Raw genomic sequence first — 16,375 nt, forward strand, 5'->3', positions numbered from 1 at the left:
AAAATAGAAAAATGCAAATATGAAATATAATAGTAGATAACTAGAAATTACATTTTATTAAACCTGCAATACATTCACCTCAGTCTCCAAAGGTTGTCTTCTATGAAACTTTGACAAATGCTTTGTTACATACAGCCATGAAACAAAGTATGGTGATCACCTTGGTAAGCCAGATTTTTCCAGAACTGTAAAACAGTGCTTTCTGGGATAAAACTGATCTGTTACTAATGATGGGGAAGAAACCAAAACTACTGAGGAATCACTCATAGTTATATAGCACAAATGGGTGTGCCACACCTTTAACAAGAAGCCTGTGAAACCAGCCAAAAAGTTAATGAGAAATTGTATTTGCAGAAAAAGCAGAATAAACTACTAGTAGAATTTACTGTATCACATGATACTGTTGGATATGATCTGTGATATATAAAGTGAATGATTAATGTGCTGTCATTGTGAAATGTGAAATAGCAAGTGTTCCAGATTATGGTGATCCGAACTGAATGTGTATATATGCCCTCAGCTTATATACAGAACATATTTGAAGAAAAAAGTATTCTTGTTTCTCTTCTGGTTATCATTTTTTAAAAAACAATCTATACTACATTTTGTTATTTTGTGATCTGTGACATAAAGTGGAAAAGGAAAGGACGTTGGGGTCACTGATGAGAGAGCATCTGCTATCTGTACAGTAAAAAAGGGCATTATAATCTCAATAAAAAGTTTGTACTCATCTTGACTCTCTAAGTCTCTTGCCAGAGAACAGTTAGCAGTCAAGAGTTTGTCTCCTGGTTTTGACTGAGTCTTTTATTAGGAGAGGAGGGCACGATGGCTTGCACCTGTAGTCCCAGCTACTCACGAGGCTGAAGCCAGAGGATAGCTTGAGCCCAGGAGTTCTAGGCCAGCCTGGACAACACAGTGAGACCCTATCTCAAAAAAAAAAAAAAAAAGAAAGAAAGAAAAAGAAAAACAGAAAACAAACAAAAAGAACAGGAATCAGCAAATTAAGGTTTTTGGGCCGGATTTGCCACCGTGACCCGTACCCCCATTTTTGGATGGCAGGTTTTTAAAATGTTTTTAAACAGCTGGGGAAAATATCAGAATATTTTGTGACATATGAAAATTACATGAAGTTCAAATTTCAGTGTCTATAAATAAAGTTTTATTGGGACATAGCCATACTCATTAGTTTATGTATTGGCTGAGTCTGTTTTCTCACTACAGCAGCAAACTTGATTAGTTGTGACAGAGACCATATGGCTTGCAGAGTCTGAAATATTTACGATCTGGCCTTTTACCGAAAAAGGCTGCTGACCCAGAGTTAGAGTAACTTCCCTTTGATCCATCTTATTTATTGTTCTTCCCCATGGGAGTTCATTTGAAGAAAGGGTTCTACTGCCTTAAAAACAATGTTTTTTTTTAAAGTATGTAAGGTCGGCCCAAACAAATGAACTGGCATTCTTGTTCTTTTGCCCCCACTGGGGCAAGAGCAGGGTGGGGTTCACAGTTCACTTTGAAAATGCAGATTCACTAATTCAAGGCAATATTTGAATATACATTATGGGTGATATCAAGATTAACCATTTGTGCTGCCAGAAATTTTAAATCTGGTAGAGGGATATATTACTTTTTTAAAAAATATTTTTCTTAAAAAAAGAGATTAAACATAGCTTAAAAGAAAGGCATTTGACTCAATTCCTGTTCTCTCAAATTGATATTCCACAAATTGCTACCAGTCCAGCAGATTCCCACTCTTCCTTATTCTTCTGAATGCAAGAATATATTCCCTAAATGTCTTGGTCTATCTTAGGTATCTCTCCTGTTTCCATAGTATCCAAATACTTTCCTGACATTGTTAACTTGCTTGGTGTGTTTGTACTAAACTATAAGTAACTTTTTGGTGTCTTCCTTAATAGACATGGAAGGGACTGTTTCTTATTTTAGGTAATAGAGTATAATCCTGCTTTTTCTAACTGAGTGAACCCGTTTCCTCATCTATGGAATTGGAATAAAAATAATAATGATAATGATGATAATAATAACTTTTATTGTTGTGAACCTTAACTGAGAAGATGAAAGTAAAATACTTAGTTAAGATTTTGCCACATAGTACTTTAACTGTGTTGCTCTTTTTTTTTTCTGTTGTTTTATCTCTAAAACCTAATTATAGTCTTTTTTTTTTAATTATTATTATACTTTAAGTTTTAGGGTACATGTGCACAATGTGCAGGTTAGTTACATATGTATACATGTGCCATGCTGGTGTGCTGCACCCATTAACTCGTCATTTAGCATTAGGTATATCTCCTAATGCTATCCCTCCCCCCTCCCCCCACCTAATTGTAGTCTTTTTGGAGATTTAAATATTTCATTGAATGGAATCAAGATTTATTATTTTTTTTTTTAATTTTTTAATTTTTTTTTTTTTTTGTGAGACAAAGTCTTGCTCTGTCACCCAGGCTGGAATGTAATGGCATAATCCCGGCTCACTGCAACCTCCACTTCCCAGGTTCAAGCCATTCTCCCGCCTCAGCCTCCTGAGTAGCTGAGATTACAGGCACCTGCCATCATGCCCGGCTGATTTTTATATTTTTAGTAGAGACAGGGTTTCACCATGTTGGCCAGGCTGGTCTTGAACTCCTGACCTCAGATGATCTGCCTGCCTCAGCCTCCCAAAGTGTTGGGATTACAGGCGTGAGCCACCGCCCCCAGCCAAGATTTATTTTTAAACATGTCACCAACTGTATGCTTTAGAGAAGGTTGAAAGTTAAAATTTAAGCTTGCTGTTCAGAAATAGTTGTCCAGTAGATTTTCATCCAGTAGTGACATTGATATTTCTGTTTGATGGGGTTGGGGTGATTTTTTTTTTTTTTTGGTCTGTTCTGAAAATCTGTGCTGTTTCCACATAGCTTATATATAGTTAAAAGTATAAATGGAGTGCTTACTATGTGGCAAGGACTGTCCCAGATGCTTTATATTAATTTAATTTTCATAAGAACTCTATGAACTAAGTGCTATTACTGCTATTTTTAGATGAGACAGCTGATGCACAAAAGGATTATAAATTTCCTGGTTACTTAGCTAGTAAGAGGCAGAGTCGGGATTTGAATCTGTAGATTGGTTTTTGTTTGTTTGTTTTGAGATGGAGTTTTGCTCTTGTCGCCCAGGCTGGAGTGCAGTGGCGTGATCTCGGCTCACTGCAACCTTTGCCTCCTGGGTTCAAGCGATTCTCCTGCCTCAGCCTCCCGAGTAGATGGGATTACAGGCACAAGCCTTCATGCCTGGCTAATTTTTATATTTTTAGTAGAGTCAGCATTTCACCATGTTGGCCAGGCTGGTCTGAAACTCCTCACCTCAGATGATCCACCCACCTTGTCCTCCCAAAGTGCTGGGATTACAGGCATGAGCCACTGTGCCCAGCAGATTGTATTCTTAACCTCTGTGTTCTAATGCTTTTGTTAGCCATACTGTGTTCTATTTGTCATATGCTCGTATGTAAGATATAGCTTATCTAAGGTAACATTATTGAAGAGTTTTAAGTTTGTTCACAGTGCTGAGCATATGGTAGATAATACGTATTTGTGCTTGAATGAATTAAGGAATATGATGAGATGATAAAAATATTATAATTCATACAATATAATCATTGTTTAATTATTCTTGGCTTTGAGTAATAACATTGTCGTTTGAGTTATCTATAACATTGGCTATTTTGAAGCAATCTAAGACTATAAAATTTGGGACAGTGAAATTGCTTAACAATCTATTTATATTCCTAAATTCATTTTTTCTTGCTGGTACTCACTCAAAAAAAAAATCTGTGTGTTTTATTTAGAGTTTTTCCTTTTTTGGGTTCCTCTGTTGAATTGTTTGTTGATTTGTTTGTGTTAAATGGCATTGTATTATAACAGATAATTCAGTTCTTATAGAAGAAGCCTTAAAGAATTTGGACATACTGGTCACAATAGTGAAGTCTGGTATTAAGTTTGGCCCCCGAAACTTTTGAAGTAGTAATGATCTTGAAATTTGCTTTATTTTGTGTCTTTTTCAGAATTCTCCACTTTACCAATACTTACAGGATCTGGGACACACAGACTTTGAAATATGTTCTTCTTTGTCACCAAAAACAGAAAAATGCACAACAGAGGGACAACAAAAGCCTCCTACAAGAGTCCTACCAAAAGTAAGAACGCATGCTCATTCTTTCTGGCCGAATCTTTTGCACTTTACCTTACTGGCTATTCAGATACTTCTTAAGCACTTCCATATCCTCCCTCACACTGGTAAGACTATTTATTTCATCAATAGTACAAAACTTTCTGTTAGATAAACATGAATCCTTACTGCTTTGGAATACTTTGTAGGTAATTTATATCCAGTGAGGAAATAATTTGGTAGAGAATTAAAATACATTACTTATTTAAATATTGATGCTATCCAAACAGAATCGAAAAAAATATACTAAAACTTTAATGAGAGCACAACTAATAGGAATCCTCTACTAACTGGATTTTTCTCTTTAAATCTTTTTTTTAAAAAACAGCATGAATGACAAGAACGCAAATTGATATTTCTTAAACACAGTTTCAGGTGTAGATAATGGAGTGAGCATAACTTCTGGTGACTTTTTTATCTATAGAATTAAATACTTTTATACATTAAATATCTCATAGTCGATGTCCAGCATTGAGGCCGAGATACTAGAAAAATCTCCATTAATTATGTTCTACAAAATGCATTTTCTGGATTCATTTATGTCCTGCTAGCCATGTTTACTAAAATAAGAAATTTATGGGCCAGGCGCGGTGGCTCACGCCTGTAATCCCAGCACTTTGGGAGGCCAAGGCGAGTGGATCACCTGAGGTCAGGAGTTCGAGACCAGCCTGGCCAACATGGTGAAACCCTGTCTCTACTAAAAATGGAAAAATTAGCTGGGCGTGGTGGCGGGCGCCTGTAATCCCAGCTACTCGGGAGGCTGAGGCAGGAGAATCGCTTGAACCTGAGAGGCGGAGGTGGCAGTGAACCAAGATTGTGCCATTGCACTCCAGCCTGGGCAACAAGAGCAAAACTGTGTCTCAAAGAAAAAAAAATAAATTTACTCTATTTTTAGATGAGACAGCTGAAGCATAGGAGGATTATAAATTATCATAGGTTACTTAGCTTGTAAGAGGTAGAGTTGGGATTAGAACCTGTACTTTACTCCGAGTTTATGTTCTTAACCTCTGTCTACATGTCTAGTATATTTTAGTTTTAACCAAAGGAATTGTAATTTAATAGAAAAAACATAACCAAATTTCCTCATTCCTTGAGCATTCTAGTTTAATCAGTGTTTTATCACTATTGAGAGGAGCATTTAAAACTTTCAATTAGTCATTTACAGGGAAAGTATGGATTGGCAGAAGGATCCTTTCCCCAATCTTCTTACAAAGACACCTAAAATGTGAGGTAACCAAGCTGGCCCATTTGTAATAGTCTAGTAAACACTAGAGAATTTTTTGACTAACACCCAGAAGGTGAGAGTTAGGAGAGTTAGAGCTCACATGGATCAGAACCAGTTTTCCTAGTCCTCCATTTATACCATTTCTTCCCTGTGCCCCTTTTAAGAGTGAATGTTCCTGGGAAGTGGTTTGTATATAATAGGCTATTTAATAAGCTTGGATTTGAGGTTACTTGGCAACACAAAACAAAGAATGGCCAGGGGATAGTCTTAGAGCAGCAGATGGTCATTGACCTCTAATTTTTTGTTTTGTTTTGTTTTGATACAAACTTGGGTTTTATAGGTATTATTGTCATTTATGACAAGTATTTTTATATATAGAAATGTTGTTGCTAGTTTATAAATAAGTCAAGTGAGAGTTTAAAATTGAATCCCCTCAGAAACTGAGGAACAATAAAAAGCATAGCCAGAGGTTGTTTTAAAAAATTACCAGGCTGGGCACAATGGCTCATGTCTATAATCCCGGCACTTTGGGAGGCTGAGGCAGAAGGACCACTTGAGCCCAAGTGTTGGAGACCAGCTGGGGCAACATAGCAAGACCCCATCTCAAAAAAATTATCATATGTCTAGAAAGTTTGTTTTGTCTTCATTTTATTTATTTATTTATTTATTTGAGATAGGGTCTTCCCCTGTCACCCAGGCTGGAATGCAGTGGTGTGATTACAATTCACTGCAGCATTCACTTCCTGGGCCCAAGTGATCCTCCCACCTCTGCCTCCCAAGTACCTGGGACCACGGACATGTGCCACCATGCCCAGCTAATTTTCTTCTTTATTTTTTGTAAAGATTTAAAAATTACCACTCACTATGTTGCCCAGGTTGGTCTCAAACTCCTGACTTCAAGCAGTCCTCCTACCTTGGCCTTACAGATGTGAGCCACCACACCCAGCCATATTGCACATTTCTAAGACAAGTTTTTAACTGTAGGATCTATATTTTTCTAAAACGAAGTTCTTTTTTTTTTTTTTTTTTTTTTTTTGAGACGGAGTCTCACTCTGTCGCCCAGGTTGGAGGGCAGTGACGCAATATTGGTTCACTGCAACCTCCATCTCCCAGGTTCAAGCAATTCTCCTGCCTCAGCTTCCCAAGTAGCTGGGATTACAGGCACAGGCCACCACGCCCAGCCAAGTTTTGTATTTTTAGTAGAGATGGGGTTTTACCTTGTTGGCCAGGCTGGTCTTAAACTCCTGACCTCAAGTGATCCGCCTACCTTGGCCTAAACTGCTGAGATTACAGGCATGAGCCACCATGCCCGACCAATTTTTTTCCTAATTTGGGGAGAGCTAAATTTTAGAAAACTTGTTGTATTGTTTAGCTCATTGTCAGGGAATGTATGTTTAGAATTGCTCCCAAAATTCTGTTCAAGGAATGAAGTATCAATTATTTCCTCTGAAAAGCTGTTTTTCTATGAGTTCTTAATGAAACCATCCTTAGCATTAATTGCTCTCTCTTTTTTAACTTTATTTTTGCATATGCTTGTTAGTAGTTGTTAAGTAGTCTGCCCTGATATTCTTACTATGAATATTCATTCTGTCTCTTTTTCTGGTTTCTTTTCCTGTGATTATTCTTAAATTCATTCCATAGAGTTTTAGCAGCAGGCTTCTCGTTGGCTTGATATCTTCTCTGGGGATCTCATCTACTTTCTTGCCACTTATGTCCATTCTCCAGGCTTTGCTGAGTTCCAGGTGCTTGTTAGACATTTTCTTCTACATGTGCCCCACAAAGCTCAGATTCAACTTGTCTAAAATAGGACTTCCTCAGACACCCCCAAAACAAACAAACAAAAAATGTTCCTTTTAATAGTCCCAAATCACTACCCCCTCAGACACCCCCAAAACAAACAAACAAAAAGTGTTCTTTTTAATAGTCCCAAATCACCACCCTCTCAGTTACCATACCATTTCCAATCGCGCTGACATAGCCTTGGTCATCAAGTGATACATCAAGTCAGCTTCTGTGTCTCTTAAATCTAACTCTTATTCATGATCTTTTTTGTACTCATTACCTAACTTAAAGGCCTTTATTGTTATTTAGCTGAGTGATTAATTTTCTTTTCTCTTTTTTGAGATGGAGTCTCGCGCTGTCGCCCAGCCTTGAGTGCAGTGGTGCGATCTCAGCTCGCTGCAACCTCCACCTCCCGGGTGCAAGCGATTCTCCTGCCTCAGCCTCCTGAGTAGCTGGGATTATAGGTGCCCACCACCACGCCCGGCTAATTTTTTGTATTTTTAGTAGAGACGGGGTTTCACTATGTTGGCCAGGCTGATCTCGAACTCCTGACCTTGTGATCCACCCACCTCGGCCTCCCAAAGTGCTGGGATTACAGGCGGGAGCCACCGCCCCCGGCCTTGAATATCCTTTTAATCATGCTTCTTGTCTACAATCATACCCTGCCAGTTTAGCCCCTGCACTATTGCCAATTATTTTTCTTTATTGTTTCGCTTCCTTGCATAAAAATCTTTGGTAGCTCCTCACACCCTACAGGATAATGTTCATACTATTATGGTGTGTAAGTCTAAGATCCTTTAAAACCTATCTCAGTGTACCTTTTTAACTTCCTTACTAATCCCTTCTTCTCTTGGGTCATAACTGTCCTGGAGTGCGCCACCATCCCCATGACATGTGCTTTAATGGCTCTTTCCTTCATCCTCTTCCCTTGACTGAAGTGATCTTCTCTTTTTTTTTTGAGATGCAGTTTCGCTCTTGTCACCCAGGCTGGAGTGCAATGGCGCGATCTCGGCTCACCACAACCTCTGCCTCCCGGGTTCAAGTGATTCGCCTGCCTCAGCCTCCCGAGTAGCTGGGATTACAGGCATGCACCACTATGCCTGGCTAATTTTGTATTTTTCGTAGAGACGGGGTTTCTCCATGTTGGTCAGGCTGGTCTCAAACCCCTGACCTCAGGTGCTCCGCCCTCCTCGGCCTCCCAAAGTGCTGGGGTTACAGGCATGAGCCACCGTGCCCAACTCGTTCTTCCCTTCTTTGTTAAATTCCTACTCATCCGTTAGGACTGAACTCCAGTGTTAGCTCCTCTCTGACCTCCTCTTTTCCAATACTTTTTCAGACTTTACATTGATTGTAATTCTTTATATTGTCTCTTCTTCTATACTAAGTTCTTGAAAACAATAGTTACATGTATTTATCTTTTTTCCCATGACCCTTTGCAGTACCTGGGATATAGTAATCACTCAATGAATATAAACTGCACTTACTGGCATGCTCAAGGAATGGGCTATTAAGGTAAATTGAATTTTTGGTTGATTCAGTAGTAAAGCTTTTTTATCAATATATGACAGTTTTTCTAAAATGGTCAAAGTATCTTTTTGACTTAGTATTGTGGAATGAAATGGTCTTAATATTTGAGAACTTGTAACCACCCTATGATTTTTCTTTCTGAAATAAATACTATCATCATGTTGACATAGTACATAGTCTCCCCAGGATAAATGGGCTGCTTCAGAATGACTTCTGCCTGCTCTTTAAAAATCGGATTTTCAGGCCTCATTCCAAATGTATTGAATCAGAATCTTTAGTTTGGGGGCCCAAGAATATGTTTCTAACTAAAATCTCCAGGTGATCCTGATATGCAACAAAATTTAGGAACTAATAAGGAGGCTGAGATGTACTGACAAGGTATATAACCTGGACAATTTTTTTCTTCCTTTTCTGATATAAATTCTCATTGATTGGAGGTAAGTACTTTGAAGTTTTTCTGCTGTTTGGGTATGCTTTTAATAATCCTATACAATGTCATTCATTTCCTTCAGCAAGGTATCCTGTTAAAAGTGGCTGAAACCATCAAAAGTTGGATTTTTTTTTCTCAGTGCAATAAGAAAGATGACTTACTTCACAAGTTGGTAAGTGGTCACTTCTTTTTGCCACTTTTCAGGGTTCTAGGTTATTAGTGAAATAATTGGTGAATCAGAATTTGTTTTGCTATCAATTTGGCCAGCAATTGATTTTTACTAGAGATTCTGCAGTAACTCAGGATCTTTTAATTTGGGCTTACTGGTATTGTTTATAGCTTTTAAAGAGGTTATTAGCCACTCAGAATGGAATACTCTGATAGTTATTGAAACGTTATTTGTTAGATTGCTAATTTACTATTGCCCTCTTCCTCCATTGACAGGTATCCCTCTCTATAGGTAAAGGAATATGTCATTAGTGGGATCAATTCAATCTGTTAAATCACAGAATTTCCCAAAGACTCGAAACAGTCAACCTGAAAGGTCTTTGTGATTTTTGTGAGGCTTTGTTTTTTTCTACTCTCTGCTGTAACAGAACTCCAGGGGGGAAATACTTCAACCTTCTGACGTCCTAACAATACAAAATCCAGGGAGTATAGCCTAAAAATTCAAGTTATGTGGTTCTCATGGCTCCCAGAAGGAGTAATGTAGTTACAAGTAAGCAGGTTTCAGGATCTCTGCTGGCCTGTAACCTTAAGAATTATCATTCCTGTAAATTAACATTTGTAAGGAGATTGTTTACAAAGTGCTTTCACATTTTGATTTGGTAATCTAAACAACACTATAAGATTTAGTCTGCTTCAGTAACGAGAAAACCAAGGTTCAGACAATCAGTTTGTTTTAATAACTTACTGAGTGAATTGTCTAAAAATGTTCAGCTAGAAAGTGATAGAGCCAGAATTTGAACCCAGGTCTCTTGGTTCCAAAGCCATGCTCTTTCTGCTATAGCATACGACCTCTCTAGCTCAAGTATTATTATTTTTTGGCTGACTAAAATTACTTTTTTAGCAATCCAAATTGTCAAGTTCTTTGTTCAGGGTTTCATCTTTGTTGAAGGTGTATTGAGAAGGTCAATGAAGTGTCTTATCGTCTACATATAATGCCATTTTTATCCAGGTGGAGCCATCTCATTCTTCAGTGATACTAGGACTGTGGTAAGGTATATGGATCCATATACATTTTTCTGTGATTTAGTCATAGTCTGCCTAGGCCTGGTCTTTTCATTCTTGATTCTGTGTCACTGGCCACATGTTTCATGTGATGTTTCACTATACAGTGCCAGCTTCTGTATGCATCCCTTTTGTGCCTATATTATGGAGAACTATAAGAATACATACCTAAGGATTAGTTTACTAGTAATGGAACAAGAAATTGCCAAGGTGGCTTTTGGCGTGAGATTGCTTGACTTTTTCCCCTTGATTGTGACGTATTTAAAATGTTGTTAGCTATACAGATATTGAAGCAGGCCCTCATTTCTTTTGTAAGAATATTGGCAATTGCTCTGTGATATCTGAACATTTTACTAATGTTCATTTTTATAGTACTTTTCTTAAAAATTAAAAAAATCCTTTATAGCAACCATGATGGGTAGTGGTAATGGCACTTTTTAAGTGCCTTTTAGCTTATAAAGTGCTTTCACACGTGTTATCTTATTTGATCCTTGTATAAAAAGCCCCATGATATCCAAAGTGATTAAGATCTTTGAAGAATACTGACAAATGAATAAGTTCTCTTCTTCATCCCTAAGGAAAAAGAAATCAAAATCTCTTAATTTTTTATCTGTGCCTTCTCATAACCTTTCATTTCATCCATGCAGAAAGGAATTCCTAAGTACTTTCTCATGCCACTTCCCTATTTAGATCCTGGAAAGATCTTTATCAATCAAATCAAGTCCAAATTTGTCACGTCAGCACTAAAGAGTCTGCATAATTTGGCCCTAACCTACCTTTCCAGCTTTGTCCACCAGTATTTGTATCAATGAACCCAGTCTTCATTTTCCTTTATTCCGTACTTATTCTGTATGTCTATGTTTGTGCTCTTATACTGTGATGGAATACTTTCTGTTTTTTTTTTCTTGATCCATTAGAATCTTTTCAATAAGCACTCCTAGCTTTTTCTCAAAGCTTTCCCGAAACTTCAGCCTATTGTGTCTCTTATTTTCTGCATCAACCTAGTAATAATTACTTTGTGTTCTATAAGTTTTTGTATTGTAATATATCCAACGTGTGCTTTTCTTTATTGTTTCAGTTATTGCATAGATAGTGACAACAGTAATAGCTAACATACAGTGCTTACTATGAGCCACTCTTCTTGGTATTTTATAGATACTGACTTATTTAATCCTCATAACAACCCTGTGAAGTAGCTACTGTTATTATCCCACTTTTGCCAAAGAGGAAACTGGCACAGAGAGCTTATTAACATGCTTAAGTTGTGGAGCAAGGATATAAAGCTAGACACTAAGTCCTGGCACTCAGACTTGTTGAAAATGTGCCAAAGTTTACATAGTACACATCCCAGGAGCATAGAGCCTCCAGCCATGCAGGTGATACCTGCTAATATTTAAATCGATCAGAATTAGCACCTTTTCAGTTTCTTCATTTGTTTGAGACCTGGATCTGGGCTTCCCAGTCCAAATAGTACTGTCATGACATGTTTCTTAATTTGCAGGTGTCAGTTTTTCTGGTAGTTTGATTGTTACCTTGTAACACAGTTAACATGTTTTCTGCAGTTCTTATTTTTATAATCAAAGAGTAATATCTAATTTTACATTTTATCCTTAAGAAAGAAACTTAATTCATTAATCTGATTCAATTTAAACCGTTATAATAATCAGTATATAGTTCAAGTTTTTCCTCTACGTGAGGCAATCTAATCACTAAGATAACATTGTTTTAGTTATTTGGAGTGTCTTGGTGCCTTTCAAGTTTATTTGTATTCATAGATGATTGTAGGTTGTTGGTTGATCACTTTTTTTTTTTTTTTTTTTTTTTTTGAGACAGAGTCTCCTTCTATTTTTCAGGCTGCAGTACAGTGGCACCATCTCGGCTCACTGCAACCTCTGCCTCCCAGGCTCAAGCAATTCTTGTGCCTCAGCCTCACAAGTAGCTGGGACTACAGGTGCACGCCACCAAACCTGGCTAATATCTGTATTTTTAGTAGAGATGAGGTTTCACTCTGTTGGCCATGCTGGTCTTGAACTCTTGGCCTCAAGTGATCTGCCCGCCTTAGCCTCCCAAAGTGCTGGGATTACAGGGGTGAACCACAGTGCCCAGTGGGTTTGTCACATTCTTAAATCAGATATTCCTAATGCTATTAATACTTCCTCTAAGCACGTTGGTTTTGGGGAGGTGTTATCCCAGTTTTACACATAAGTCTGATGCCAGGGAATGGTGTTAAAGAAAGTGAGTAACTGATTAAGTAGAATATCTGTGAAGAGAGAGCACTGCCATTGAATATTACTGGCTTTTCCACTCTCTGTCAGCTTTAGCCTTCAACTCGTTAGGCTTCTTCAAACTTACCTTATATAGGTACATAGAAGTCTCATAAAAGGTATGGTCTAAAGCTTTTGTAGCAAAAGTTTGATTTTTAATACTTGCATTGAATATGGCTGTGTCTAATTGGGGAACCAAATAGTAAGATCAATTTCAGAGATTACTCAAAAAGCTACCATGCCCCTGCGCTCCTTTTTTCTCCCCTCTGAACAATAGTATAAAGTGAGTTGTGTTGCTCTGTTTTTATGAAAGTGGGGTGGGATGTCAAATTAAGTGGTTCCTAATGTTAGAATCAGAATTGTGGGAAGAGAGAAGAGGCAGTTGTTCAAATATGAAACATAAAAGTGCTGCAGAGGTACATGCAGAGTGTGTCAGTAGATGGTAAAAAAAAAAAAAAAAGCCATATCAGGCTAAAAGAAAGATCAACATTCCATTGAGAAGATGCTCTCTTTTTGGACTGAAGATAAATAAAATATATCTAAATGCACCTAATATTAAAAATCTTCTTCTCTAAAAGTGGCATATAACCCTGATCAAGAGGTCATGGGCTCAGTTTGATATATGGTTCACCTCATTCTTACTGAAGTCCTCATTATGATCAGCGAGGCCTGGAATGTGTGGTGTGGGGATGATTAAATTAACTAAGAAGAGCAAACCTGTTGCCTTCACACCCTAGACCTAACAGGTTTTACTTTAATTGTTAATGGCCTTGTCCATCATTCTCTTTATTTTGATCATATAGTAGGATCACTCTAGTACTAAATTTGTTTGTTTGGTTTTGGTTTATTTTTTATTTTTATTTTTTTTGAGACGGAATCTTGCTCTGTTGTCCAGGTTGTAGTGCAGTGGCACAATCTCGGCTCACTGCAACCTCCGCCTCCTGGGTTCAAGAGATTCTCCTGCCTCAGCTTCCCAAGTAGCCAGGATTACAGGCATGTGCCACCATGCCCAGCTAATTTTTGTATGTTAGTAGAGATGGGGTTTCACCATATTGGCCAGGCTGGTCTCGAAATCCTGACCTCAGGTGATCCGCCCACCTTGGCCTACCAAAGTGCTGGGACTACAGGCGTGAGCCACTGCACCCGGCCTCTATTTGTTTAAATTTAATACAAAATACAACTTTAAATTTTCTTTTGAGGCAGACTATATGCAGGGAAACACAGCTACCAAACGCTTAGGATTTGAAATCAAAATTCTGGAAAGTTACTTAATCTCTTTGGGCTTTGGTGTTCTCCCCTACATAATGGAGAGGAGGATGATAAGGTACATCACAGGGTTACTGTGAGAATTCACCTATCTGCCCTAACAGTGCTACCTCATCTCTCACCTCTCTACCATGTGCACTCTGTGCACAATCTATTAATAATATCATCTAATATCGACGACTCACACTTCCCCAAATTAGAAAGGCTTTTATCCTGTACCATCCCACTTCTCCAACTCCTTTGTCTGGTCAATTTTTGTTCATCCTTTAAAACTTAGCTCAGGCTTCACCTCTTTTACTTTCTCTGACTTCATTACAGGCTTGGTCCCTCTATGCCATTTTCATAGTACTCTAGGTGTATTTCATCACACTCCTTTGCATGTTATATTGCAACTGTTTACTTTTTGGGTCACTTCATTAAACTACGAACTCTTTAAGAATAGAGACTTGTATATCTTTTTCATTTTGTGTCTTCAGTGTCAAGCCTGATGCCTGGCTTATAGAAGATATTCCTTGATAGATGAATAGAAAGAAGAGAAGGAGAAATAAATGAGCTCGTATATGTGAAGGCATTTTGTAAACTATAAAGTGCTATGCAAATGTTAGTGTGATTTTACATTGCATTCCTTAATAGTGTATTTTTAAATATCTGAATATCCATTTTTAGGAGGCCTTGATCCTGCTAATAAAATTCTTAAATATTGGCTATATTGTTACAGCTTCAGGGACAGCATCTTTTATGTTATAGGATTATATTTTCCATGTCGTGCCCTAGCAATTTAATCAATTAGGCTTAACTAGACAAGTTTGTTAATCTGTAATTACTTTACATCTTGTTATTAAAAATTTATCTTTTACATCTGATGGCTCAATAATGTCTATCTCAACCTTTACTGTTTCACATTTACAGTGAAAATAAAACCCAGCTATCATACTGAAGGTAGATTGGACTGTTGTTTCTTCTTGAAGTATCTTCTGAAAATAAACACCACCAAATTTTATTAGTACATTAGGAGCTTAGCGTTTAATGCAATATTATATATGTGTTAATACCTCTCTTCTGGTATTTTAATGGCAAGGATATTGGATTCCGACTCGACTCATTACATACCATCCTGCAACAGGAAGTCCTGTTACAAGAGGATGTGGAGCTGATTGAGCTACTTGATCCCAGTATCCTGTCTGCAGGGCAATCTCAACAACAGGAAAATGGACACCTTCCAACACTTTGCTCCCTGGCAACCCCTAATATTTGGTACTGTCCAGAAAACACCTATTCTTTGACTGCTTACATACAGAGTATTAGCAGAGGAAACCCATCATTGTGCTCTCCATTGTAAAGGCATAAACATTCCATACATTTAGCAGTACAATTAAAGTAACAATATGGGGGGAAAAAGTGCCTTTCTAAAGTAAATACTATTTAAAGTGAAGCTAGGGAAAAAAATCCAATTTGGTTATTATATACTTCCAACTCATTAAAATTAGTTCTGTGCTCAGCAACCTAGCAAATGGGTATAACAAGTGCCAAAAAGTTACTCTGCCAGGTGCAGTGGCTCATGCCTGTAATCCCAACACTTTGGGAGGCTGAGGTGGTAGGATTGCTTAAGGCCAAGAGTTTGAGACCAGCCTGGGCAACGTAGCAAAATCCCATCTCTACAAAACATGAAAAAATGAGTTCAGGTATGTTGGCATATGTCTGTAGACCTAGCTCCTTGGGAGACTGATATGGGAGGATTGCTTGAGCCCAGCAGTTGCAGAGTGCAGTGAGCCGTGATCACACCACTGCACTCCAGCCTGAGCAACAAAGCGAGACCCTGTCTCTAAGGGGAAAAAAAAAAGAATTTATTTTACCCATACACCTATTCACATGTGTGCATGCAAACCTAACCTTCTTTGTGTTTCTTTATAATTAATAGGTTTTATCGTAACTATATTGTAGAGACACCAAGAATAGGATGGGACATGGAGGTAGGCAGTTGATTCTGGCTGTGTTGGCTGAGAAAAGATCACAGGGAATGTGATTTGATGATTCATTCAGACCATCCTAAAACTTTTCAACCTCTTGAACTATTTGGGTCTAGAGCAGAAGTCCCAAGCAATAATCTGTTAAAAGAAAAAAAAAGAATGTGTAGCAAAAAGCGATTATATATAAAAAATTATTGATGTCTTCTTCCTGTTAAAGTACTTTATTAAATTTGACATAGAAGGGAGGAATGAATCAAGAAGTACACTAAATCACTATTCAAACTGTTCAAGTTATATAGGCAGTTACATTCATTGGCCTCAAGGTTCTGTATTTATGTCTTCCCTGTCACACTGACAAATGCTTCATTCTGCAGTCACTCAGATATGATCATGAAGAAGTAAAGCTTCTTATCCTTCAAAAATACAAGAATTTAAGGAGCTGATAGAAGGAACCATAGGTTTTAAGAATTTA

The 16,375-nt window shown here is 37.8% G+C and overlaps 1 protein-coding gene across 67 annotated transcripts in view; it reads left to right on the forward strand.

Moving 5' to 3' along the window:
• VEZT (vezatin, adherens junctions transmembrane protein) overlaps positions 1 to 16,375 on the forward strand; it is an 84,993-nt gene that overhangs the window by 30,085 nt on the left and 38,533 nt on the right. For 29 of the 67 annotated variants that reach the window (NR_147923.2, NR_147921.2, NR_147919.2 and 26 more), the window contains 3 exons: positions 4,049 to 4,180; positions 9,259 to 9,348; positions 15,015 to 15,190. Coding sequence is in view for 35 of the 67 variants with exons in the window: in XM_011538549.2 (XP_011536851.1) it covers positions 4,049 to 4,180; positions 9,259 to 9,348; positions 15,015 to 15,190 (398 nt within the window). In the remaining 32 variants the exon portion in view is untranslated. Of the gene's footprint in view, positions 1 to 4,048; positions 4,181 to 8,658; positions 8,732 to 9,258; positions 9,349 to 10,353; positions 10,397 to 14,412; positions 14,537 to 15,014; positions 15,191 to 16,375 lie in introns of those variants that run through there. The other 38 variants (NR_147917.2, NR_147920.2, NR_038241.2 and 35 more) reach the window with 10 other exon arrangements.

Source organism: Homo sapiens, chromosome 12, assembly GCF_000001405.40.
Source record: "Homo sapiens chromosome 12, GRCh38.p14 Primary Assembly".
In the NCBI taxonomy this organism is placed as follows: Eukaryota; Metazoa; Chordata; class Mammalia; order Primates; family Hominidae; genus Homo; species Homo sapiens.